At 42.5% G+C, this 27,170-nt stretch overlaps 3 long non-coding RNA genes and 1 pseudogene across 9 annotated transcripts in view, besides 3 other annotated features; 1 reads left to right on the forward strand and 3 right to left on the reverse strand.

Annotated features, from left to right (window-relative positions):
- Positions 1-1,942: 1,942 nt before the first annotated feature.
- LOC105379228 (uncharacterized) lies at positions 1,943-10,163 on the reverse strand. 2 transcript variants are annotated; one of them, XR_948934.3, is made up of 3 exons: positions 10,081-10,163; positions 8,822-8,919; positions 1,943-2,030 (listed from the first exon to the last, which is right to left on the reverse strand). It is a non-coding gene; the product is annotated as an uncharacterized LOC105379228 (long non-coding RNA). The 2 variants fall into 2 exon arrangements; XR_948935.3 differs by having other exon boundaries at positions 10,069-10,146.
- Positions 10,164-13,765: 3,602 nt separating this feature from the next.
- Positions 13,766-27,170, forward strand: part of LOC105379231 (uncharacterized) — a 62,356-nt gene continuing 48,951 nt past the window's right edge. For all 4 annotated transcript variants that reach the window (XR_002956685.1, XR_948940.3, XR_948941.3 and 1 more), the window contains exon 1: positions 13,766-13,863. This is a non-coding gene — a long non-coding RNA (uncharacterized LOC105379231). The remainder of the gene's footprint in view (positions 13,864-27,170) is intronic.
- Positions 14,020-14,314: an enhancer, noted in NCBI's record as "tiled region #4717; K562 Activating DNase matched - State 5:Enh". NCBI's record gives its function as "activates a minimal TATA promoter and a strong SV40 promoter by Sharpr-MPRA in K562 cells {active_cell/tissue: K562}" and the evidence as "EXISTENCE:reporter gene assay evidence [ECO:0000049][PMID:27701403]".
- Positions 15,590-16,094: an enhancer, noted in NCBI's record as "H3K27ac hESC enhancer chr8:9222619-9223123 (GRCh37/hg19 assembly coordinates)". NCBI's record gives its function as "activates a minimal SCP1, AML or CMV promoter by ChIP-STARR-seq in primed H9 embryonic stem cells {active_cell/tissue: H9 hESC(primed)}" and the evidence as "EXISTENCE:reporter gene assay evidence [ECO:0000049][PMID:30033119]".
- Positions 19,722-19,771: an enhancer, noted in NCBI's record as "active region_26982". NCBI's record gives its function as "activates an Ori minimal core promoter by ATAC-STARR-seq in GM12878 lymphoblastoid cells {active_cell/tissue: GM12878}" and the evidence as "EXISTENCE:reporter gene assay evidence [ECO:0000049][PMID:35858748]".
- Positions 21,571-21,676, reverse strand: RNU6-526P (RNA, U6 small nuclear 526, pseudogene; annotated as a pseudogene).
- On the reverse strand, positions 22,026-25,801 carry LOC105379230 (uncharacterized). Of its 3 annotated transcripts, NR_188126.1 has the most exons (4): positions 25,415-25,801; positions 24,834-24,886; positions 23,336-23,587; positions 22,026-22,620 (listed from the first exon to the last, which is right to left on the reverse strand). It is a non-coding gene; the product is annotated as an uncharacterized LOC105379230 (long non-coding RNA). The 3 variants fall into 3 exon arrangements; NR_188127.1 differs by lacking the exon at positions 24,834-24,886 and having other exon boundaries at positions 23,336-23,578; NR_188125.1 differs by lacking the exon at positions 24,834-24,886.

A 27,170-nucleotide genomic window follows, 5' to 3' on the forward strand; every position in this document is an offset into this window, starting at 1 on the left:
TTTCTCCATGTCAATTAATACTCTCTGCCTCAACTTATCTTTTTATTTATTTATGGTTTATTTTTGTCTCCCCGTACTAGACCCCATGAAAGCAATCTTGTCTGTCTTTTTCACTGCTATTTCCCTAACTTATATGAATGCCCACCTCATATCAGATGCTCAGTAATATCTGCCGTGTGAGTAAATGGTCTCATCACAGTGAGTTCTGTATTGTGTTTCTATTTGCAGTATGAAGCCACATGGCTTCCAAGTCTGGCAGCTCAGGAGAATTACCTAGACACATTTTAAATCATGCAGGTTTTTGAGCCTCATCCCATCTTTATTGGTGTGTCACTGATGGTGTCCTAATCTTTCCATTCACTCTGATGAAAAGTTTTGAAGTCGCCAAGGCAGGGGAAAAGGGGATTAGCCTTCAGGCTAATGGAGGTCAATTTAAGAGGCTTTGTGAGTTCCTTGTTCCATGGGAATAAAAACATGTTAGAAGCCACTATATTGAAGCTGGGGGTGGGAGAGGAGAGAAGAGGGAGGATGAACCCTGTGGCATGGGCCCATCTGGCTGTTGAAGGTCAAGGTCTGGTTTTACCCACTTTGGTAGCTACATAATTCTGTGAATTACCAGGGGACCCACCTATTCGCTCAAGGAGGACTCTTTATTTCACCCTGTCCTTCAGCTTCAGGATCTAGAACTCTGCTGTCTAATATAGTAGCCATGGTTTTAAGACTGAATTCATTAAAATTAAGGTGTTCGAATTTGAATTAAATGCATTAAAATTAAATACAATTAAGAATTCCTTTCTTCAGTCTCACTAGCCATGTCTCAAGTGCTCACTAGCTGCATTAGCTGGTGGCTACAGTATGTGTGCCTTTCCATCACTGCAGAAAGTTCCATTGAACAGAGCTGGTCTAGAAAATGGGCTCCTGGGACTGCTAGAAAATGGGACTCCACACTGCTGTTGTTAGTGCTTTAAACGCCAGGCTTGTCGATTGTACATGGAAATACAGCTCTACCCTGGTTAAGCAATTGGTCTCTTGAGCCCTGGGAATTTCAGTGGAGCAGGCGAAGGGCTGGTGAAAACAGCTTGTAAAAGTATTTGCCAGCAGAGCTGCCCACACACAGAGATGATGTACATTTTCAGAGACATACCACTGTTGCTCCAGAGGACAGGGAGAAAGCACAGCTATAGGCCAGGACGAGTTTTTCTTTTAGTTTGTGCTCCTCGAGCTCTGAATCCAAGGTCACTCCTGGGAATTTTGCCGGGATTCGTTTAGCAGGTTTACATTCTGTACCTCAAGTAAGATGATCGGCCACTTAAAGTCAGGGGAAATGACTTATGTTCTTATAATATCTCCTCCTCGACACTTCACATATAGATGATAAATAAACACTAGCACTCGATCTAAGTTGCATTACAGTTAGCTCTGTGCATGTATCTCCTTATTTGCTCATGAAATCCTCAAGGGCAAAGATTATTTTTATTCCCTTCCCTGCAGCACCTAGTACTCTGCATGATGAATAATTGTTCCTATAGAAATACTCATGGGTGGGAGGATAGCTGGACCCCAGGAGTTCAAGGCTGCAGTGAGCCATGATTGGGCTACTGGACTCCAGCCAGACCTCGTCTCTAAATAAATAAATCAAATGAATAAAAAGTAAACAACGAAGTATTCATTTTGTGTTTTAACAAGCACTAGAGGAAAAATTCATTTTAAAATTTTTTAAAATGAAATATTTATTGGATGGTTGGAGGGAGGGAGGGAGAGATCAACTCAGACCCACACTGGTAGAAGATTTCCTGTTTCAGTGAGAGCTCACCGTTTTAGTGATACATCACTTCCCGTCTTAGAAATTCAGAAAAATTCAGCATTATTCTCTCATTTGAAGGTGAAGAGGCTATTTTCCAAGTCACCAGTGGGTGGATGAATGAAAGAAAGCTTTTCCAGTGTCATCAGAGCATTCTCATGGGACTTTATCAGAAAAACCATCTTCTTTGCCTTTTTTCTGGTAGAAAGCTTCACTGGAAAAAGCAAACCTAATTCAAGAGAAAAACATGGCAATAGGACAATTTCAACAAAAATTGTCTACGTGTTACATGAAACATTCAGGTTCTAGAGCATTTTGTGTCACTCTTTTAAGACCCCAATCTTAAATGCTTGTTATCAACTATAGAATCTTCTCTCACCACATCTGGAAATTAAGCTAAAGTCAAGAACACAAAAATGTTTGTCTTCTCATTACTCTCTTCTGTCAGATACTTTGCAGCGTAGTTTCTAGTGATCATCATTTTCTTACTGTAGATTCAAGTTTGTATCTTCTACTATTTCCCTTCATTCTGAAGAATACCCTGAGGAATTTCCTGCAGTTCTGCCTGTAACAAATTCTATCAGCTTTTGTTTATCTCAAAGTGTCTTAATTTTACCATTTTTTTAAGTTTATTTTCACTCTATATAGAATTCTAGACTGGTGAGATTTTTTTCAGCATTTTAAAGGTGTTATTCCCTGGTCTTTTGGCCTGCATTATCTCTAATAAGAAATCAGAAATTATTTTTGTTTTCCTATATATAATGTGTCTTTTGTTTTATGGATAATTTCCGTATTTTCTGTTTTTTTGGTTTTTGGTTTCCTTTTTTTTTTTTTTTTTTTACACAGAGTCTCTCTCTGTTGCCAGGCTGGAATGCAGTGGTGTGCAATGTTGGCTTACTGCAACCTCCACCTCCTGGGTTCAAGTGATTCTCGTGCCTCTGCCTCCGGACCAGCTGGGATTAGAGGCATGTGCCACCACACCCTGCTAATTTTTGTATCTTCAGTAGAGATGGGGTTTCACCGTGTTGGCCAGGCCTGACCTCAAGTGCTCCACCCGCCTCGGCCTCTCAAAGTGCTGGGATTACAGGCATGAGCCACCGCGCCTGGCCGATTTCCGTATTTTCTATCATTTTTTGGTTTTCAGCAGTTTGACTGTGATGTGCCTAGATGTGGTTTTCTTTATGTGTATTCTGCTTGGGGTTCACTGAGTTTCTTAAACCTAAAAGTTGGTGTTTTTCAACAACTTTTGGGAAGTCTGGGGCCATTATTCTTTCAAATGTCTTTTTCCTCCATCCTCATTCTCTTCTCGTTCAGAATCCGTATTGCAGGTGAGTTCGGCCATTTATTACTGTCCTATCAATCCCTGAGGCTTTGATCGTTTTTTTCAATTAATTTTCTATTTATCAGATTGATTTAATTTTATTGATCTGTCTTCAAGTTTACCAAGTTTTTCTTCTGTCATCCCTAGTAAGCCCATTCAGGGAATTTTTCATTTCAGGTATTATACACTTGAGTTTTAGAGTTTCCATAGGGTTTAAAAAATAGTTTCCATTTTCCAAGTGAGATTTCATAGTCACTAATTCATTAAATCCATATTTTTCTTTAATTCTTTGAACATCTTCCATTAACTATTTGACTGTGTGTGTGTGTGTGTGTGTGTGTGTGTGTGTGTGTGTGTGTGTGATGGAGTCTCGATCTTTCACCCAGGCTGGAGTGCAGTGGCGTGATCTCGGCTCACTGCAACCTCCGCCTCCCAGGTTCAAGCGATTCTCCTGCCTCAGCCTCCCAAGTAGCTGGGATTACAGGCACCCACCACTATGCCCAGCTAATTTTTGTATCTTTATTGGAGATGGGGTTTCTACTACTTTAGGAGTGTTGGCCAGGCTGGTCTCGAGCTCCTGGACTCAAGAGATCCACTTGCCTTGGCATCCCAAAGTGCTGGGATTACAGACGTGAGCCGCCGTGCCCCAGCCTTTGACAATAGTTTTAATAACTCATTTAAAGTCTTTTGCTGCCAAGTCTAATACTTGGGCCATCTCAGTTTGTTTTGAGTACTTTTTGCTTTGATTATCAATTATGTTTTCCTGTTTCTTTGAAAGCCTAGTGATTTTTTAACTGAATACTGGACATTGTAGATAATATATTGTAGAGTCCTGGATTCTACTATCTTCCTCAGAAAAATGTTGATTCTCATTTTAGCAAGCAGTTTGATTATTATCTGATCACCTTGGAATGTCCATCTTGGTTTTAGGCTCTCATATTATAGATAAGGAAAAAGTCAGAAGTGTTTCCTGAGTGCTAACTTAGAAGACTCATTCTCCAAACTGTCTCCCATGACCATCCTATTAGGGCTCAGGTTTAGGCTTTTTAAGAGTGAGTGTGGTGTATGTTGTACTACAGTGACTATTCAAATTTAAGTGAATTAGGCCAGGCACAGTAGCTCATGCCTATCATCCCAGCACTTCAGGGTGGGATGCCAAGGCAAGTGGATCTTTTGAGCCCAGGAGTTCAAGACCCGCCTGGGCAACGTGGCAAAACCCCGTCTCTAGAAAAGATACAAAAATTAGCCAGGCATAGTGGCTTGTGCCTGTAGTCTCAGCTACTTGGGAGGCTTAGGTGGGAGGATCACCTGAGCCTGCAAGGTCAAGGCTGCAGTGAGCGATGATCACGCCACTGCACTCCAGCCTGGGTGACAGAGTGAGACCCTGCCTCAAATAAATACATAAATAAATTAATTTAAATTTAAACATGTACTTATTCAGTTGCCATAGTTACATTTCAAGTGTTTCGTAGTCATATGGGTCAATGACTACCAGATTAAAATTGTGCAACTACAGAACATGTCTGTTACAGAAAATTCTATTGATAGGCACAGTTCTATGTCAGAGATCAGCAGCTTTTTCTGTAAAAGGCAAAATAATATTTTAAATTTTAGGGCCATACGATCCTGTCATGTCTACTCACCTCTGCATTGTAGCATGCAAGCGGCCACAGACAGTAAGTACACAGATGAACATGGCTGTGTTCTAATAAAATTTTATTACAAAAACAAGCAACAGCTGAATTTGGCCTAAGAGTCGTATTTTTAGAGCAAAGGTCAGCAAACTATGACCTATGAGCCAAATTTGGCCCACTGTCTATTTTGCTTATTTTTAAAATAGCTTTATTGAAATATAATTCACATATCATATAATTTGCCCATATAGCTCAGTGGTTTTCAGTATAGTCACACAGTTGTGCCAACATCACCACGTTTAACAAACACCTTTTTATTTTTTTTTTTGCAAAAAAAGTTTTACAGGAAAGCAGGTTTACTCATTTATTTATGTCTTGACCTATGCCTGCTTTCATACCTCAATGGCAGAGTTGGGTATTTGCAACAGAGACTATATGGACTTCAAAGGCTAAAACATTTAGCGTCTGACTCTTTAGAGAAAATATTTGCTCTAGAATGTCGTCTGTACCCATAAGGCACAAGCTTGCTGTGTTTGACCTGGATTTCAGGAGTGTTCATGAGGTGTTATCTCTGCTCTCTGTCAGGGTCGGAACTCTAATGTCCACAGCACTGCTTGCTTGATCTCTCATCCCATTGTTTCTCCCTCAACCCTACAGCAGCTGCTACTTGGTGAGCCTCAGGTGTTGCTGCCCGTTGTATATACAGCATAACCCTCAGCTACAGACCTTCAAGGACTCCAGTACAAATTTTTGGAACCTATTTCTTTTTTTTTTTTTCTTTTTCTTTTTTCTTGTTCTTTTTTTTTTTTTTTTTGAGACGGAATCTCACTCTGTCGCTCAGGCTGGAGTCCAGTGGCGCGATCTCGGCTCACTGCAAGGACCGCCTCCCGGGTTCACGCCATTCTCCTGCCTCAGCCTCCCAAGTAGCTGGGACTACAGGCACCCGCCACCACGCCCAGCCAATTTTTTGTATTTTTAGTAGAGACAGCGTTTCACCGTGTTAGCCAGGATGGTCTCAATCTCCTGGCCTCGTGATCCGCCCGCCTCGGCCTCCCAAAGTGCTGGGATTACAGGCGTGAGCTGCCGCGCCCGGCTTTGGAACCTATTTCTGCGTGGCTTGTCTGATGCATCATTCCCGTGTGGTATATTTTCCTTGATTTAAAAAAATGTATTTGTCCAGTCATTATGAGAATTATTTGAGTCTCTTACTGTAGTGTCTATTTCTCCTTATCCAGTGTCTTTAATTTTGTTTTATGTATTTTGAGACTACGTTTTTAGGTACCAGTTAGTTTAGGCTTGTATTTTTCTGTTGAACTAAAACGTCTACCAATACATTGGGAGCCTCTTGATCTCTAGAACCGTTTTCGCCCTAAAGTCTAAAAACAGAGTGACACTGTTTTCTTTCATTTAGATTTGTCCGTTGTGTAATTTGAGCCTTTTGATCTTTGTGTTTTACATGTGATCTCTCATAAAAGTGCATTTAAATTCAGTCTGACAAGCTTTGATTTTTAACTGAGGCATTTAATCTATGTTCATTTGAATGTAATCACTGAAATATTTTATTTCTAGAGTTTTAAAAAATTTTCTTTTTTAATGAGACAGAGTCTTGCTGTGTTGCCCAGGCTGGAGTGCAGTGGCACAATCTCGGGTCACTGCAACCTCTTTGTCCAGGGTGCAAGCGATTTTCAGGTCTCAGCCTCCTGAGTAGCTGGGATTACAGGCGTGCACTACCACTCCCAGCTAAATTTTGTGTTTTTAGTAGAGATGGGGTTTTGACCATGTTGACCAGGCTGGTCTTAAACTCCTGGCCTCAAGTGATCCACCTGCGTTGGCCTCCCAAGGTGCTGGGATTACAGGTGTGAGCCGTTGTGCCTGGCCTTTTTTCATATCTTATTTTTTCTTTCATAACTATCCTGCATTTACTATATATCTATACTATATCTATATATCTATATATATAAAATCATATATATACACATATACATGTATATGTATATTATATATCTCTTCTTCCTTCCCCTGCTCTTTCTTTTTGCCTTCCTTTGAACTGATTATTTTTTGTTTCTCTCTACTACTTGGAAAGTTATTGTGATGGTTAATACTAGGTGTCAACTTGATTGGTTTGAGGGATGCCTAGATGGTTGGTGAAGTATTGTTTCTGGGTGTGTCTGTGAAGGTGTTGTGTTGCCAGAGGAGATTGACATGTGAGTGGTGGACTGGAGAGGAAGACCCGTCTTCAATGTGGGTGGGCACCATCCAATTGGCAGCCAGTGCAGCTGGAACAAAGCAGATGGAAGAAGGTGGGATAAGTTTGCTTGCTGAGTCTTCTGGCTTTTTTTCTTCTTCCCATGAGAGACGTTTGCTTCTGTTCCTCCTGCCCTTGGACATCAACTCCATCTCTTTCAGCCGTAGACTGAGGGAGGCACTGTGGCCTTCCCTAGTTTTCAGGCATTTGGACTTGGACTTGAGCCACTTCCGTCTTCTCTCTTTCCCCAGCTTGCAGATGGCCCATCGTGGGACTTCACTTTGTAATCCTGTGAGCCAATTCTCGCTAATAAACTCCCTTTTATATGCACCTACATCCTATTGGTTCTGTCCCTCTGGAGAACTCTAACTAATACAGTTATATCAAATTCCCTTCTTCTAGAACTCATCCTAGAATGTTAACAAGCATATTGAACTTCTCATATTCTAAATTTAATTAATAGGTTTACTCTCCTTCTTTACATTACATGAACTTAGAACACTTTAATCCTCTTACATCTCACAATTTGTATGCTATTGTTGCTTTGTATTTCATGTCTATCCCTCTACTTACAGAAGTTTATTGCCATTGTTTTATGCAGTCAATTTTTTAAAGATTTGCTTATGTATTTGCCACTTTCTTAGCTCATCATGTTTTCATCTCAATATCCCTAACTTGAATTGTCTTCCCTCTGCTTAAGACAAGCCCTCAGCATTTCCTTTAATCACTGTCTGTTTTTCCTTACTTCAAATTTTTTAACTTCACTCTTATTTTTGAAAACTATCTTTACTGCATATACAGTTTTAGGTTGATGGTTATTTTCTCTCAGCATATTTAAAATATTGTTTCACGAAGAAAACAACAGACTTGAGTGTGGAGAGTGGGAGGAGGGAGAGGAGCAGAAAAGATAATGATTGGGTACTGGGTTTCATTTATGGGTGATGAAATAATCTATACAACAAACCCCCATGACATGAGTTTGTCTGTGAAACAATCCTTCAGGTGAACCCCAAACCTAACATAAAAGTTAAAAAAAATTAAACGGCGACAACAACAACAACAAATATTGTTCCACTATTACCTATAGTTTCTATGGATGCTATCAAGAAGTCAATTTCATTGTCATTCCTTTGTAAGCAATCTGTCTCTTTGAAGTATCATTAGGCTGTATCTGGGTGAACACTTCTTTCTTTGTAAAAAATCTTGCTTGGGTTCCTTAGGATTTCTGAACCTGAGGATTGGAGTCCATTAATTCTGAGCATTTTTTTGTGTCCCTTTTTCTCTCTGGACAGTGGAGTGGTCTGTCTTTCGGTTCTTTAATTCTTCCTTCACCCATGCTAATCTTCTCTCAAACCACTCATTGAGGTTTATAAAAACTTTGTTACAATATTTTTCATTTCTAGAAGTTCTAGTTGAATTTTTTCTTTTATGTCCTTAAAAACCTTTAATTTTGGCCAGTTGCGGTGGCTCATGCCTGTGATCCCAGCACTTTGGGAGGCCAAGGCAGGTGGATCACGAGGTCAGGAGTTCGAGACCAGCCTGGACAACACAGTGAAACCCCGTCTCTACTAAAAATACAAAAATTAGCTGGGCATGGTGGTGGTCACCTGTAATCCCAGCTACTCAGGAGGCTGAGGCAGGAGAATCACTTAAACCCAGGAGGTGGAGGTTGCAGTCAGCCGAGATCGTGCCACTGCACTCCAGCCTGGGCAACAGAACTAGACTCCGTCTAAAAAAAACAAAACAAAACAAAGAAAAGTTCTTTTTCTTTATTTATATTTTCTATTATAAATTGTGTTTACTCCCAAAATTCATAGTACCTTAGAATATGACTTTATATGGAGATAGGGCCTTCAAAGAAGTCATTAAGTTTCATTGGGATTATTAGGGTAGGTTCTAGTCCAATATGATGGTCTTCCTGTAAGAAAAGGAGATTAGGACACAAAACACAGAGAGGAAAGAGCATATGAAGACGGTGAAGGCAGCCATCTATAAGCCAAGGGGAGAGGTCTCAGAAGAAATTAACCCTGCTGACACCTTGAGCTCAGACTTCCAGTCTCCAGAACTATGGGAAGTGAATCTCTGTTGTTTCAGCCACCCAGTCTGTGATACTTTCTTATGGCAGTCCTAGCAAACTAATACAGACCTCTCTATTTTCTTCTTGAAACATAATTTAAAATACTTGTTTCATATTCTTTGTCTGATAAGCCAATATGTGAAACGTTTTGGAAGCTAAATCTGCTGTTTGTTTTTTCAGGTGTGTGGTGCTTCTAGGGCATGGTATTTTTGTGAGTTTTGTGATCTGTGCTGGTGAGCTCATATGTTTTGAAAGTTCTATCAGTGAGAATTCTTTGAACAAATCGGAAAGAATTTGCTTTTCTTAGTACCATGAGCCTAAAGCCACTTCCAAGTCAGCAGCATTCTACACTAATTCTCAGCATGAGTTTTTTGGGACTAACCAGGTAGTGTGAATTGAAGCTGGAAAATTGTACAATGGCCTTGTGTTTATGAATAATCAAGGCAGATATTTTGTTCTCTTACCGAAGTACTAAGTCTGGAGAAAGGCATTTTTCCTTGATGTCCAGGGTAAGAGCAGTGGTTGGGGTTAGTAGTAGTAGTTGTGGGGGAGGATAAGCTTCTATCTAATTTGTGATCATACTAAAGATATAAACCCTTGGGGCCCAGTTTTCTGTGTGGTCTTCTATTAGATTCTATACTTTGCGAAGTTCCTAGGCTTTTTCTCCTGTGGCCTGGCCACTGGAGTTTAGCAAATGCCCTCAGGATGAAAATCAGATTTAGTGTTTCAAAGATAGTTCTAGAAGGAGAGGTAATTTTTAACCCAGAGCCTCTGTCACTTGTCAGGAAGGGCCAGGCTGGTGTACCCTGGGAAAAACTTTAATGTTGCTTTTATTGATATCTTTATCAGCTACCGTCCTGATTAGCTAGACAAATCTTCCCTTTCAACAGAGTGAGGTCCAGAAGGGAAGCATTTTGTGGAAGTCATTTCTAGATCCCCCAGTAATTTATGTAGAGGAAAGCCCTTCCCCATGTCCAGGCTGTCCCGCACCTGAGCTCTCACCCTCACACAAGCATTGGGGGCTTCAGAGACCACGGATCCCCCATCTTCATCTCTCCAATCCCTCTGTCTCCATTTCTCACACGCTCCTGTGAAAAAATAAACAGAAGAACTGTCTGCCTTGGAACTATCCTGGTTATGCTTTTCTTTTTCAGAAAGTGCTTGAAATAGAGGCCAAATTCAAAAACCCTGCATCACCTAAAGCTGTATGGAGACAAGGCCAGGGTCCTTGCCTCTGCCCCATCCCTGAAATAGAACCTGCCAATGCTTGTTTCAGGCGGGTGTTTTATTTCAAAAGCCTAAGCCAGCCTATGAAGTGGATCTCTGGCTTGGAAGCATTTCGCGGGATCGTCACACGGGGCAGGTGGCTGGAAAGTGTGTCCAAACTCACCTGGCACTGCCTTCGGCCTCCCTGAATGCAGAGTTGGCCTCAGTCCCCAAGCTGCTCTCTAGAAGCCTGCAGCATCCAGCACAGGGTGAAAGAGGCCATCACATTGATATGTTAGTGGGCCCCAAGCAAATGTCTGACTGAGAGATGCTCGACTCCATCTGATTATTTTCCAGTTTTATGTAAAGCCTCCAGTGTGACTTATGATTAGGTTTTGATTCTGTTTCTTTGGAGTTAGTCTTGTCCAGGGGTGAGAACAGAAACTGCATGACCCAAAGACAGAGGGCCCCTTTCAGTCGGGGTCTCTGCTGACCAAAGCAATTTTGCAGGTGGGAAAAAAAAAAAGAGTCTGGGCAGGGGTTTATTGACACACTTATTGACCTTCCACATCAGCTGTTGTTGCCAGCTTCCCTTAGACAGCCTTAGGCAAGAATAAAAGAAGCTGAGCACATTTTCAGATTCAGAGTCAGGTCTGCAAAGGGCTGAGAGTCTGGGCATTCTCCTTAGACAAGGGCAGAAGGCTGCCCCTTGTCTTTGTTTCCAGCCTGTCCATGCCCATGTTTTCAACAGAGTAATTCTGACCAATAAACTCTACCTGCTTGATGGAAGGTAAAAGGCATAAAGGCTGAATAGTATTTAGGAGATGAAAGATCAGTTAAGGCTTAGGTAAATGGTTAAATCAAGAGAATTCTTTCTCTGTTGATGGTCACTTGGAAACCAAGCTTCAGTTTCACATGAGCTCCATGCGTCTAAAACACTTTTCAAATAGTCTTCAAAAAATTAACTACTGACACATCCAATAACAGATGGTGGGATAAATTGCTATCTGTCACTTTCCTTTTCTGAAACACACAGAAAATCATATCTATAGCTCTGCAAACCATCCTGAGGAATATTTGGATCTGACTGAGTGAGAATTAACAAGGGCAAGAAATACCTAGTCAGACCAGCACTTGACACTCAGTAACTGTTGGTGAATGAATGAATGAATGAATGAAACATGTGCTCACCACATCTACTGCAGGATGTTAACATCTCTGAAAGTAGGTGAAAGGATTCTATGAAATCCAACCCAAAGTGTTATGCTTGGAACAATTAGGTTTATATTCCCAGAAGAAACAGGAGGGGGAAACAGCAACAACAACAAAAACAAAACATTGCTATCGTGGTATTCTTAAGTTTGTGATATGGTTTGGCTGTGTCCCCACCCAAATCTCATCTTGAATTGTAGTTCCCATAATTCCCACTTGTCATGGGAGGAACCCAGTGGGAGGTAATTGAATCATGGGGGCGGTTACCTCCATGCTGTTCTCGTGATAGTAAGTGAGTTCTCATGAGATTTGATGGTTTTATAAGGTGATTTCCCCCTTTTGCTCTGCAGTTCTCTTTCCTGCCACCATGTGAAGAAGGACATGTTTGCTTCCCCTTCTGCCATGAATGTAAGTTTCCTGAGGTCTCCCCAGTTCTGCAGAACTGTGAGTCAATTAAACCTCTTTCCTTTATAAATTACCCAGTCTTGGGTATGTCTTTATTAGCAGTATGAGAACAGACTAATACAGCTTGTCATTTCAGAATGTTAGGATATGTAGATGTCATAGGAAGAAACCCTTGGACAGCCCATCTGTGTGTTCAAAAACAACCCCTCTATCAGCCCTGCTCACCACAAAAGAGGGGAAAGTCAAAAAATGAAAGTAGGTAGGTCTTCAGGGCAAAGAGCACAGCACATTTATGCAGAAAATCTAGACAATAGGCCAGGCGCAGTGGCTCATGCCTGTAATCCCAGCACTTTGGGAGTCTGAGGCGGGTGGATCGCCTGAGGTCAGGAGTTTGAGACCAGCCTGGCCAACATAGTGAAACCTCATCTCTACTAAAAATACAAAAAATTAGCTGGGCGTGGTGGTGGGCACCTGTAATCCCAGCTACTCGGGAGGCTGAGGCAGGAGAATAGCTTGAATCTGGAAAGTGGAGCTTGCAGTGAGCCGAGATCACGCCATTGCACTCCAGCCTGGGCAACAAGAGCGAAACTCCATCTCAAAAAAAAAAAAAAAAAAAAACTATGACACAATAATAATTGTGAATAAATTTGCCAGCTGTACTTCATAACCTGAGGACATGATTAAAGCAATGTTTTGAGGAAAATTATTAGGCGTAAGCAGTTAGCATTAATAAATACAAAGAATCAAAATAATGCATTAGTGATTCAACTTAAGTTTGAAAAAGAACATAATTATGAAAAAACAAAATGAAGAAATAAAAATTGGGAGTTGAAGTGAATAAATTAAAAAATGGATATTTGGCAGAAAAATAAATGAATCCAAGTCCTGGTGCTTTTAAATAAAACAGATAAACCATTAATATCCTAAAAAAAAGAGGGGCAAAATACAAACGCATACAATTAGAAAGGAGGGTGGGAAATAACAGAAAGACAGAGAAAACACTTTTTAACTATGCAAATAAATTAGAAAACCTAAGGAATGAATATACATGAAGTGAATAATTTATCCAAATGCCAGACACAGGTCATTTCACAAATGAAATTTTAAATTTAAAAATTTTAAGAAAGAGATTATTCTAGTACTTTTAAAACTTTTCTAAGGAAAATCAACATGTCTAATGTTGTTTATAAAGCCAACATAACAGTAATGCCAAAACTGGACAGTGCACACACAGGACTCACAAAACAGTAGACGACTTTTAGGAATAAGCCTAGTGCCAAAATATTTTTTAAAATATTGACACTGTAATTACCATTTTTTTCTTTCTTTTTTTTTTTTTTTGCAAGTGACACACACTCTAACAGCTCCTTGACCAGAGAGTAAAGGTAGCTCTATTATAAAAGAAAAATAATTTAAAGATTTCAAAAATACAAAAGGGCACCATGAGAAAACTGAGTTTTGATCATGGTCTTTGGATCTAGCTGAATGTTAGAAACACTGGGCAAAAGAAGTTAAATCAGCATCAAGAGGTGAACTGCAGGTAAACAGGTTTTCCAAGTCATAGACAACTGGGGCCAGAAATTGCTCATAAATATTTTCTCTGCTTCCTCCAATCAAATGCAGGTTTCTTTTTTTTTTTTTAAGTTTTTTTTTTTTTTACTTTTTAGAGACAGGGCCTCACTCTGTCATCCAGGCTGGAGTGCATTGGTACAATCATAGCTCACTACAGCCTCAAACTCCTGGGCTCAAGTGATTCTCCTGCCTCAGCCTCCTGAGTAGCTGGAACTAATCTGTTCCAGGTGCGCGTCACCACATCTGGCTAATTTTTAAATTTTTTGCAGGGACAGGGTCCTGCTGTGTTGCCCAGGCTGGCCTTGAACTCCTGGCTTCAAACAGTCTTCCCACTTGGGCTCCCAAAGTGCTGGGATTAAAGGGGCGAGTTACAGCACCAGGACCTGAAATGTAAGTTTCCTTTTGTGAGTGAATGTTCCATTTAGTTAAGTTATTCCAAAATGATGAGGTAAGCCTGTGAATGAGGTTCTACTTTCTGTCCAGAATTCTTGGAGAAGGTCAAACTGGTGAGATGAGCGAGGCAGGTTGAGAGGTATGAGGAGTTGGGGGCAGGGGGGTTACATTATTCAAAAGAGTACAAGTGGAGCCTGCGAAGGGGGAGTAAAAGCGACAACAAAGAGAGGGGCTCTGGCGGCCTTGGAGTGGAACAGATTAGTGACATCCGTCTTAAAAAAGCCCAGTCATGACTGGTGGTGGCTGATGAGGCCTAGGAAGCGATTAGAGCTGAAGTCATTAAAACGTCTCTGTGGAAGTTTAGCTGGCTGCCCTCCACTTAATCCTCTTAGGCAAACAGGCCATTCTCACTAGGCCGTAGATGGAGGCTCCGGCGGATCCTGGCCTGAAATGCCAGCCGACTTCGAGAATTAGAAATTCTCGGTATTCATGAGGATTGGGAGTAAGCGTGTGAGTTGGTTTGTGAGGTGTGGAAAGCCAATTTGCTGATGGTATAAGTCTTCCATTTAATCACCGTCAAGCACAAAGTGATGTAGAAAAAGAAAGTCTTCAGGATCAATATTAACTACGGCTTCGACACAGCTAAGAATCAACAATGGCTGGAACTGTGACCTACAACTCAGGCTCTGCTGGGCTGACCAGGGCCCTGGGGGAACACAGGGAGAAGGCGTTCTAGCACATGACCTGTGTAGTCTGAGATTGAAACTGACCTTTTGAGGGAACAGGGCCAGAAGCTAGAAGCACCCAGAGACTGTGTCTATTCTTTCCAGAAGGATCCCTGTCTCAGCTAGACGATCCCCGGCAGGCTGCAGTTAGATGCTCAAATTTCAGCGAATGGATTGAATGAAAGTCAGTCTGGGTCTGAGACAAGATTTTCATTTGATAGAAATTGTTAAGATTTTCCTCTGAGTAATTTCTTTTTTTTTTTTTTTTTTTAATTTATTTTTTATTGATCATTCTTGGGTGTTTCTCACAGAGGGGGATTTGGCAGGGTCATAGGACAATAGTGGAGGGAAGGTCAGCAGATAAACAAGTGAACAAAGGTCTCTGGCTTTCCTAGGCAGAGGACCCTGCGGCCTTCCGCAGTGTTTGTGTCCCTGGGTACTTGAGATTAGGGAGTGGCGACGACTCTTAACGAGCATGCTGCCTTCAAGCATCTGTTTAACAAAGCACGTCTTGCACCGCCCTTAATCCATTTAACCCTGAGTGGACACAGCACATGTTTCAGAGAGCACAGGGCTGGGGGCAAGGTCACAGATCAACAGGATCCCAAGGCAGAAGAATTTTTCTTAGTACAGAACAAAATGAAAAGTCTCCCATGTCTACCTCTTTCTACACAGACACGGCAACCATCCGATTTCTCAATCTTTTCCCCACCTTTCCTCCCTTTCTATTCCACAAAACCGCCATTGTCATCCTGGCCCATTCTCAATGAGCTGTTGGGCACACCTCCCAGACGGGGTGGTGGCCGGGCAGAGGGGCTCCCCACTTCCCAGTAGAGGCGGCCGGGCAGAGGCGCCCCTCACCTCCCGGACGGGGCGGCTGGCCGGGCGGGGGTCTGACCCCCCACCTCCCTCCCGGACGGGGCGGCTGGCCGGGCAGAGGGGCTCCTCACTTCCCAGGAGGGGCGGCTGGGCAGAGGCGCCCCTCACCTCCCGGATGGGGCGGCTGGCCGGGCGGGGGGCTGACCCCCCCACCTCACTTCCCAGACGGGGTGGCTGCCGGGCGGAGAGGCTCCTCACTTCTCAGACGGGGTGGCTGCTGGGCGGAGGGGCTCCTCACTTCTCAGACGGGGTGGCTGCTGGGCAGAGGGTCTCCTCACTTCTCAGACGGGGTGGCCGGGCAGAGACGCTCCTCACCTCCCAGACGGGGTCGCGGCCGGGCAGAGGCGCTCCTCACATCCCAGATGGGGCGGCGGGGCAGAGGCGCTCCCCACATCTCAGACGATGGGCGGCCGGGCCTCTGAGTAATTTCTTTCCTAACTGGCTGTGAAAAGAAGGAAGAAAGGCCAGTGTTTAATTGGGTTGGGATCTCGGCGGCTCTGCGATCAGTTTCTTTCTTTTATCAGTGTGGGCTCACTGGTGACTGAAGGGGGTTTATTATCCAAATTATATAAGATCTGTGTTTTGGATTTGCCACCAGAGAAGGTATTAAACAGTGCTACCTATCAGAAGATTCATGCCTCGTATGGAGTTTTAAATTTTTGAGTAGCCACATTAAAAAAAGTAAACGGAAACTGAAGAAATTACTTTTAATAATATGTTTCCCTTAACCAAAATATTATTCCAACATAATTAATGTAAGAACATGCTGATAAGATGTTTTGCATTATTTTTTCCATGTTGAGTCTTCAAAATTCAGCACATCTCAATTCAGGGTAGCTCTTTCTGAAGGGGTTAGAGGCTACCATATTAGACAGTATCTAACACTGGATATAAAGGATTACATCACATGGTCCCTGCCCTCTGGGAGCCTATAAATGTGTACCTTTATTCTGTATTCAAGGAGGTGGAGTAGGGGGGATGGAGAGATGTACCTAATAAGACTCCACTTGAGAGAAATGGGAACCTCTCTAGGGTTTAATGCCAACTACTAGTGCTAGGCAGGTTGTACATGGCTCCCTCCTCTTCTCAGGTCTGGTTAACTAACAACTCTGTCACCCAACCACACCCAACAGAACAAATTCTTGACAGCCCAACCAAACAGAAACCACAAAACCAATTGGGCTAACCCAAATTCACATACCTCTTTTTACAGTATTTGAGAGGTCTCTATTCTGCAAAGCGTTAGGGGGATTGTGTGGGGTAAGGAGGGAATGAAGCCAACACTCCGGATGACCTCTGTAGATTGGTTTAACTTAAGAGCACACGTGAACACGTTGTCAGGATCACGGCCAGTACTAGGACTGGTTCAGACACACAGCTCTTGCCACTCCTGAAAGGAGCTTTGGCCAATATCTCCACAGTTTAGGGGTGTAACATTTTGCAGTGCCTCAGTCCTTTAAATGCAGCCAGCTTCCCCTGAGCCCTGAGCTGGGCTGCAGCCAGCACACCTAGGCCATCACTGGCTCCAATGCCTGGTCTGTGTAGTTGGCCAGCACTGCCCTCTCACCCTCCAGACACTCTGAGCCCAGGCCGTAATCTCTGGTTTGACACCATGGCTTTCCACATCAACTCCTAGATTCCCTTCCGACTCTCTTTGCTGATTCGTTGACCTAGCATCTCACTTACCTGTGCATGCTTTCCTGACACATCAGTCTCCCAAGTGTGGGTAGAGTCATCTCTGTCACAAGGACTCTGGGAGCCCTCCCCAGCCAGGCTTGTTCAGGCCTTCTCTGCCTTCCTCTCTTCTCTCCCTAACGGTGGAGAGACATTTGGATACAGTGAGGTCTGGAGCTAATCCCATCCCCTAGGCCCTAGGAGGTCCCTGTTAAAAGGACCAAGTGGGCCAGGTGCGGTGGCTCAAGCCTGTAATCCCAGCACTTTGGGGGGCCGAGGTGGGTGGATCACGAGGTCAGGAGATAAGAGACCATCCTGGCCAACAGGGTGAAATCCCGTCCCTACTAAAAATAGAAAAAGTAGTTGGGTGTGGTGGCGCATGCCTGTAGTCCTAGCTACTCGGGAGGCTGAGGTTGCAGTGAGCCAAGATCGCGCCACGGCACTCCAGCCTGGCAACAGAGCGAGACTCCATCTCAAAAAAAAAGCACCAAGTGTGGGTCTCACAGTCCTGGCCCTGCTCCAGGCCTTTCTTCTTGCCTCATCCTACTCTGTCTCCAGCTCCATGCAGCTATTATATTTCCTTAAGCGAGTTGACTCCTTCCCCATTCACAATGTACTAATTTCAGAACACTCAACTTCTACATATACAAATTCTCAAAAATCAATGCCTAAAAACTAGTGACGTAATCGTTCATTATTTCTTTCTTTCAAGAAATATTTATATTGCACAAATCCATGCAACACAATCGATTTTCTTTCTATGGCAGCTGGATACTGTGTGATGACTTTCTTTGTAGGTTATACACCCCATCTTGATGACAATGCATTAATGGGGATAAATACTCCCCAGAAGAGCTTCGGCCTGTCCTGAGATCTGCAACACAAGGAGTTTTTAACCTGGAAAGTGTGCTTAATTCTTCTACTGCCTCTTCTTGAGGGCTGCCTAAGTACAGAATGTTTGGTGTCCTGGAGGGTGCCCAGGCTAACAGTGAGAATTGGATAGCTCCATCAGGGCCTTGGGCACTGGGCCTATGGAGTAGCCTGTACTTCTTGCTCTTTTCAACACTTGAAGGGAGAGGGGGCCGAGTTCTCTCGCAGAGTTGCTCTATGGCAGTGGCAGCAGCCAGCTGGATATCACGGGAAAATGCCCGCTCCGTGAAACGGTCATATATGCAAAGTAGCCCCCAAAGGCCAAAAGAGCCAAGAAACCAAAGAACAAGCCACACAACTCCAGTTTGTTGATAAAGGATGTTTTACTGGGGAAACTTACAGATGGAAGCATGGTCTTTAGCGGCAGCAATACAGGTAGATCTCTGCACCTGTTACCCCCAGAACCAGGGCTTATATAGCATAGGGAAAGGGTATGTGTGCCCTGTGCAAGACAATGAAAGACTACCCTCCAGAAGAGGCAAGAATGCTGCATGCATCAAAGCCTATAATTTGTGCAACAGCATCGAGGTTGACATGTTCTTACATTAGGGACAGTAAATTAAGTAATAATCAGAAGGCATTCCCGAGACAACGGCTAATCAGAAGTGAAAACAGCAAATTAGCCTCCAACATGGCGTCACTTGTGTCCCCACTTCCTCTTGGTAATAGTCACATGCTCAACCTTCTACTGTGACTTGGAGCAAGTGGCTTCCTTACTCTTGGTTAAGGTTGTTGACCTGTTAATAAAATAAGATTAAAGGGCACATAAAAATGTCACTGGACAGATCTTGTCAGCAGCCCTTTGAGTGCACACAAAGGCTATCAGTAAAGCAGAAAGCAAAGCAGATGTGAAGCTGGGGTTCTACCCAACTAAGTCAGGTGTCAGCAGCATTAGAAGGGCCCTTCCAAGGCCGGGCGTGGTGGCTCACGCCTGTAATCCCAGCACTTTGGGAGGCCGAGGCGGGCGGATCACGAGGTCAGGAGATCGAGATCATCCTGGCTAACACGGTGAAACACCGTCTCTACTAAAAATACAAAAATTAGCCGGGCGTGGTGGCGGGCGCCTGTAGTCCCAGCTACTCGGGAGGCTGAGGCAGGAGGATGGAGTGAACCCGGGAGGCAGAGCTTGCAGTGAGCCGAGATTGCGCCACTGCACTCCAGCTTGGGAAACAGAGAGCAAGACTCCGTCTCAAAAAAAAAAAAAAAAAAAGGAAGGGACCTTCCGATTATGCGCACCACATACGGTGTTTGCGACAACCTAGGATACATTTTATTGTTGGTTCCTATTGGAGATAAGGGATTGAGAGAGACTGATGTGTGCATAGGCATGAACGGGATTGTTCAGACATCCCTGCACTTACAGGGTGTGTCCTTTTAGGATTTCCTGAGCATAAACACGAGGGGAGGGTGAAAAGTCCCACTGTTACCTGCATGCCATGAAAATCCACTGGTTTTGGCTCCAGTTTTTGCTCACTGTCCAACTAAAGCAGCATTTAAAAAAAATGGAAACCTTGAGACATTTCTATTGTTCTGAATCAGCTGAGCATGGATGCTGAAATGTCCCTGCTTCCCACTAGGGGGAGCTTGTCATGCAGCACCAGAAACAGGATCGCGGGAGCGGGTATCGGTGAGGCTGAGCTGGAACGCGATTAGATTTTGTGCGTATGGATCTTCTCACGAGAAGCACACCTGTATTCTGTATTTTGGCTTTGATATGATTTGGTGGCTAGATTTAATTTTTGTGCCACCAGAGTGGATGTTATAGCTCCCGTTATGTAATCTAAAAAGCTTAAACACTTTTTCTACAGCACAGGGCTTTTTTCCTTCTTTCTACTATCAGATTGTATACATAATGATCCCTTATTTAAGGCACTGAGCCGGGCCCCACGCAAAGTCTCACGAGCAGGTGGGCTTCTTCCCCATCAGTGTTAACTGGCTTGGGGTCCATTTCACAGAACCCACTGTCTATCGCGGCTGTCAACAAACTGTGCCCTTCTAATTCAGTTTGACCAGCCTCGTCTAGCTAATGCCAAATCTACTGTGTTCTCTTATCACTGTCCCTGTATTAAATATAGTTAAGAGGAAATGGGGTCATCTTTGCTTTTTGAATATTTTTATTTCCTGGTTGAAAAACAATTGAGTAAAATGTTTTTGTTTCTAGAGGGGGTGACATGGAAATGCTCTATTTCAGTGGTAGAAGGTGCTGCGGAGCAGCGGGAAAACTGTCGCTCTGAAGTCAGAAGTTGGGTTTCAATCCCTGCAATGGCCCTTACTTGCTGACTAAAGGCTCTCAGTCTACTGTAACCCACCGGGCTTCCATTTCTGTCAATTAAGTAGGGATAACAATATGCATTTCGTGTGTGTGTGTGTGTGTTTTTAATGAGAATGGATAAAGAAAGGCAGTTGAAAAGACACAGCACAGTCCGGGTGCGGTGGCTCACGCCTGTAATCCCAGCACTTTGGGAGGCCGAGGCGGGTGGATCACGAGGTCAGGAGATCGAGATCATCCTGGCTAACAGGGTGAAACCCATCTCTACTAAAAATACATAAAATTAGCCGTGTGTGGTGGCGGGCGCCTGTAGTCCCAGCTACTCAGGAGGCTGAGGCAGGAGAATGGCGTGAACCCGGGAGGCGGAGCTTGAGATCGCGCCACCGCACTCCAGCCTGGGCGACAGAGCGAGACTCCGTCTCAAAAAAAAAAAAAAAAAAAAAAACAAGAAAAAAAGAAAAGAAAAAAAGACACAGCACAGTGACTGGCACATAGCAGGTGTCACTCCATTCCTCTTTCGCTTTGGTCAGGAATCCCCTTTGCCGTTTGATCACTTTTAAAGACAATCCCTCATGTTTTCTTCCTTGTATTATTTAATAGCCTGTTCGCCTGTTCAGTGTAAGATAAGGAAACATTAGTACAGAAAAATGGGGAATAGACAAATGGCGAAGGGACGGCTATCCTTTCGGAACAGAAAACACAACTTAATTACATTCACAATGGATCAAAACGGCTTCCTGAATCAGGTACCTACAGTTTGCGGCCTCTCTTATGTCCCGCCTGCGTCTCTCTGTCTACTACTCATCACCAGATGCCAGGGCCACCTCCAACAGCGGTGCCTGCATTCCTTCTTGATTTAGTATCTTTTTGTAATTGATACATAATATTTTCACATATTCATGGTGTATATGTGATGTTTTGTTACATGCATGGAATGTGTTATGATCAAGACAGGGTATCAGGGTATCCAGCTGGAGTATTTATTTCCAGGTGCTGGGAACATTTCAAGTCCTATCTTCTAGCTATTTTCAAAATATGTAATGCAGTCGCCCTATTCTACCATCTAACGTTAGAACTTATTCTTTCTAACTATATGTTTGTACCCCTAACCAACCTTTCTTCATTCCCCCACCTTCATGTCCTTCTTAACTGCTAGTAAACGTTCTACTCTCTACCTCTGTAAGATCACCTTCTTTTAGCTCCCACATATGATGGAGTAAATGCAATAAAAATATGGAAAGCTTCACAAATTTGCACGGCATCTTTGTGCAGGGCCGTGCTAATCTTCTCTATATCATTCCAATGTGCCAATTACTAATGAACTAAACACTAATACTTTCTGCCAAAGTAAGCATGGATTTAGGATCTTTGACATGATCCCAAAAAGATAGACATTGCAGTGCTTTTGTGGATGATATCCAATTGAGGTTCTACTTCTGCAGAATTAAATTATAATTTTACACAGTCTTTTGGAAGATCCCAGGATTTGATAAAGAATTTCATGAGAATCTAAATCCAAGATTTCTCCACTCACTGGGGCCTGGTTAACTGATATCTGGCTATAAAATTCCAACACAGGATAGATTTCAGTTCAGTTCTGAACTGCCTTCTTGGCTTCCCAGTTGATATAAGACATGCATTCTAATGGAAACACATTGCTGAATGTGGCTAGGCCATAGAGCTGAATTAACTCAGGTTAGCTTTATTTTGGATAAGTAGGCTTTTTGTGGGCTGCCCTGGGAACTTTTTCATTATGTATAATTTCATACCTATGGAATATGAGGCTCAAATTCTAAATGACTGGCTTGCCAACTTTTAGAATTTACCTGCTTTAAAATTGGGAGCAATCTGTTCCTTTGTAAATGTTCTGAACTGGAACTATAATTCAGATAAATAAGGGCATTTCTAAATGACAGAGCCCAAAGGAAATCTGTTTGCAAGAGGGACAGATGCCCCTCAGGAAGACAAGCAGGGGAGCACTTGTTCTCAGATCATGAGTCAAGGTCAGAGAGTGAGATGACTCTGGGTAATGGAGACTACACTTCAGGCCATCCCCGTAGACAAATGCTCATGTCTTAAAGAAAAGGAGAGGCAAAAACACAGTGAGAAAATCCTGAAAGCTGCAATGCATTGGAATTGCTGTCTGCATCGGAAGTGGGGTTATAGCAGGGACATCAGTCTCCTTGGTGTAAGCAGAGTAAGAACCAGAAACAGCAGCAGCGCAGCATCCGTGACAAAAGCATTCATGTTGGAAGTCCCAGGTGTGACCAGTGTGAGCTGGAATAGGAAAGAGTAAAGGGGTCATTCCTCAGGTCACTGGGAAGAGGCATGGAGCACAGGCAACACATAGACACTTCCATCATGATTTCACAGGGTGTGGGGCAGCTGGAAATGCCAGAGACATGTATTGTGAGTATTGCTGTGACCATATGTTTTTGCTTCCAAACTAGTATGGACAAGGAAGCCTCCTTGCATTAAAAAAAATTTTTTTTAATGTGTGTGTGTGTGTATATAAACCTAACTGGTTCCTGCCAGACACTAACATTGCATTGCCCAGCAAATAAAAAGGAAAGAAAAAGGCCCTCAGATCTTTAAAAACTGGACTAGGCACTGACCATCAAAGCCCATCAGACATGTCTGATCCCTGGCACTCTCCCTCCAGCTCCCGAGCCCTCTTCCTCTGTCTGCCTTCCTGGCTTTTGACTGCAGATTGCTAACAGATCCTGACTCTTGCCTGTGTACCATTCTGATTTTGCATCTCTCTTTGCTTCCACTGATACCTGACAGTCTCTTTGTTTGTCTGCTGCCTTGAGCAGAATTTCCTAAAGAATTCTGAAACCAACTCAATCCTCCCATAGGTAGTTTTTTGGATAAACACAGAGATTGACCCTTCTGGTCTTAAAACTTGAAACTACATTTGCTTTATCGGAGTTCCTTCCTCAGGAAATGACCTTCAACCTCCCCAAAAAAGTATCAAAGAACTGAAACTCACCAGATCGCCACATCCAGACAATGAAATGCCTGACCCTTCATTCATCAGGATCGCTTCCTTGCCCCTTCCTAGTTCCTGTCTTCTTCCCTGCTATATAAATCCTTAGCTTTAGTTGGTCAGGGAGATGGATTTGAGGCTGAGCTCTCATCTTTTCAGCTGCAGCACCCGATTAAAGCCTTCTTCCTTGGCAATACTCATAGTCTCAGTCATTGGCTCTCGGTCTCTGGCTTTCTGTGTAGCAAGCTGCAGAATCTAGACCAAATCCTTGGTATTTCAGTAATATTTGCACAAAACACAGTTCCAAGGGTGTTGTGTAAACAAATAGTATATGTATGGAAATGAATAAAAATAAACCAGTTCATAGAGGACAGAGGTTCTGCCCATTTTCTCAATATCCAACCCTGTACCTTGTATACAGAAATTGCCCTATACATACTGGCTGCATGAATAGGTGGCCAAGTTTCAGAAATGGGTTAAACTTAAAAATACATTTCTTTGACTTTGGAATGTTAATTAGCCCTTAATATATGAAAAAGCATTGAGAATAAATCTTGACCTAAGTCTCACAGCTTATGTAGAAATTAACTCAAAGTGATCTAAGATGGATCATGGATTTAAATGTAAAACTGGGACTATATATTGTATTTAAACAGATTTAAATGTAAAACTATAAAACTTTTAGAAGAAATCTTAAGAGAAAATCTTCAGGACCAAGGGTTAGGTGAAGGATTATTAGACATGACAACAAAATGCAGTCCATAAAAACAAAGTAAATCAGAGTTCATCAAAATGAAAAACTTTTGTGCTGTGGAAAATGTGGTTAAGCAAATAAAAGACATCCTACCCCCTGGGAGGATATACATGAAACTGAAAAAGGACTAGAATCTAGAATCTATAAATAACCTTCAAAACTCAACAATTAAAACAACCCCCAAATCCAGTTATCAAATGGGCAAAAACATGAGCAGACATTTCACCAAAGAGGAGATACAGATGAAATAAGAACATGCAAAGATATTTGTAATCATTAACTATTAGGAAAATGCAAACTACAATTACAATGAGATATCCCGACACACCTGTTAGAACAACTACAAAACAGCAACAATGCTGGAGAAGAAGAAGAGAAACTGAATTTCTCATGCGTGCCTGGTGGGAATTTGAAACAGTGCATTGGCTGTTTCTTATTAAGTTAAATGTGTAACTACCATTCAACCAAGCAATTATATTCTTGGACATTTATTCTGGAAAAATGAAAACGTATGTCCATATAAAAACTTGTACCTGAATGTTCATATCTTTACTTATAATCACCCCAAACTGGGAACAATCCAAGTGTCCTTCAATGATGAATGATTAAACTAACCATGGTAGAGTCACGCCAGGGAATACTACTCAACAACATAAAGGAACAAACTATTGATGCATGCAACAACCTGGACCTATCTTAAAGGGCATTGTGCTTAGTGGAAAAAGCCCATCTCAAAATTTTACATACCTGTGTGAGTCCATATATAACTCCATATATACAATGTTCTTGAAATGACAAAACTGTAAAGATTAGAGCAGATTAGAGTTGCCAGGGGACAGGGATGGAAAGAGCGGATGAATACAAAGGGATAGTACAAGGGAGCCACTTTGTGATGATGTGGTTCCACAAATCTACACACAGCATAAAAGTGCAGCAAACTATACACATACACACACAGCTGAATGCATGTAAAAATTGTTGAAAACGGAATAAGGCCTGTAGTTAATGACACTGTATCATATCAATTTCCTGGGTGACATTGTACAACAGCTATATAAAATGTCCCTCTGGGGGAAGTTGGACGAAGGATACACAAGACTATTTTGCAACTTCTTTTGAGTCTGTAATTATTTCAAAATGGAAAGTTAAAAAAAAAAAAGACTTGAGAATATCCAAGAGAGGGTTTTAACCATGAAACCCTTTCGTCCTGGAACATCGGGTAAGATTGGTGTTCTATAGAACACACGCTGGGAAATGCATGTCAAAGAAACTGGTTTTGAACCAACAATCACTGTCCCCATTGTTCATCCCAGCCCCGGGCCCATCACCTGCATCAGTGGCCAAGCTTGCCCCACAATTCTGTCTCAATTTGCAGCTGAGAGGACACTCCACAGAGTTGCTTTTGTTCAGTAGGGTTTTCCACAGAGGTTGTATCTTGGTTCATTTCTGTTTTTCGCTTTGGGTTAGGCTGCTCTGCCAAGTTTGCCCAAACTTGTGTCAGTCTGTGCCAAGCACCATGCCTCATCCACAGAACCTAATGGGATGTGACACAGGTGGTAGGTCAGGATAGTGACAGCCAAGAATCTGGAGGAAACAGAGGCATTGTTGTCATAATGGCCTACTCTCAGAAGGTATTATGCCATAAACAGAAGCTGTGAATGAACGTAGAATAAATAAGTCATTTCCAGTACAGCAGACTGCAGTGTGTACACGCTTGAGTTGATACCTTTATTGACACACAGCCTAGACCAAATGGTGCTCAAACTCCATTGTTCCTAAGAATCGCCTGAAAAATCCGTGTTGTTGCTATGTCAGTATCCTGGAGGAGGAACCTGAGAATAGGCAGATTCAGAACAATCTCAACAAGTAACACTGGTACAGGAAGTCTGGGACCACACCTTTTTCTACAATATCACTTTTTAATCATTTCAGCTGGGAGCCTTGTTACTTGCACTCCATACTATATGAAGTGTTTAAAACTAATAACTTCTACCCATTTACACTAGCATATGTATTTACCAAAGGATTTTTTTAATTCCCTTACACATCGCTCAGAAACAAACCAATGTAGGAGTGTGTGTGTGTGTGTGTGTGTGTGTGTGTGTGTTGAAAAATAAAGGGTAATGACAATTTCCAAACGTGGTTCTTCTTTTATCAAAGGACAAAACTCGTAACCTTAATAGCATTTGTGATAAACCCAGGACTCTGGGAAATAGGAAGATTTTTGTTTTGTGTTATTTGTTTTGCTTAATCATGGTCAAAGAACCATTAGAGACAATTTGAACATTACCTTAATGAGTCCTACAAAGTAGTGCTTTTGACAGCTATTTTTTAATTGGCCAAAAAAGAAATCCTAACAAATCACCCTGGCCAACTTGACAGCTTGTTTGCTATGGGATATTCTGTCTTATCTTTGGAAGCCCCACTGTAGCCAGTCTAAAAGAACAACACAGCCTTAAGAAAATGGGGCAAAGACTCACTTAGTGATTAGAGGTAATAAAACAGAGATGGCCCCAGTAGTCCACAATCTTGGAAGTGACCAGGGTGCCTTCCTGTGAGTTTCTTTGACTGTACAATGGTGATCCATCCATATCGCCCCTGTGTTTCCCAAAGCTATAGTAAGCAATATGGCAGAATCTAATAAAAAGTATCAAAGGATTTATGCGAAGTAATGCATATGTTAATTAGCTTGACTTTCCCATTCCACAAGGTAGACATATTTGAAAACATCATGTTATCTGTCAATTTTTTAAATTAAATAATTTTTTAAGTATTAAAGAATTTCACAGCCCTTCCAACAGCCCTTGATCTAGATCAGTGGTCTCCCAAACAGAATGTCCAGCGCTGATCCATTGGAGTGCTGGAGAAAATGCTAAAACTTCCACTTACATTTAGTTTTATCAAAAATTAAGACGTTTAACTTGACTAATATTAATAGATGCATTAAATTGGCGGTCTCATTTAGTCTGCAAGTCCCAAACATCATCATGGGACCCATGTAGTGTTCCCAGGATCTTAAGAGAAGAGTGGAGATTATTTGATCAAGAATGTAAATGGGCTGAGCACAGTGGCTCACACCTGTGA

Source organism: Homo sapiens, chromosome 8 (assembly GCF_000001405.40).
Source record: "Homo sapiens chromosome 8, GRCh38.p14 Primary Assembly".
NCBI classification, from domain to species: Eukaryota; Metazoa; Chordata; class Mammalia; order Primates; family Hominidae; genus Homo; species Homo sapiens.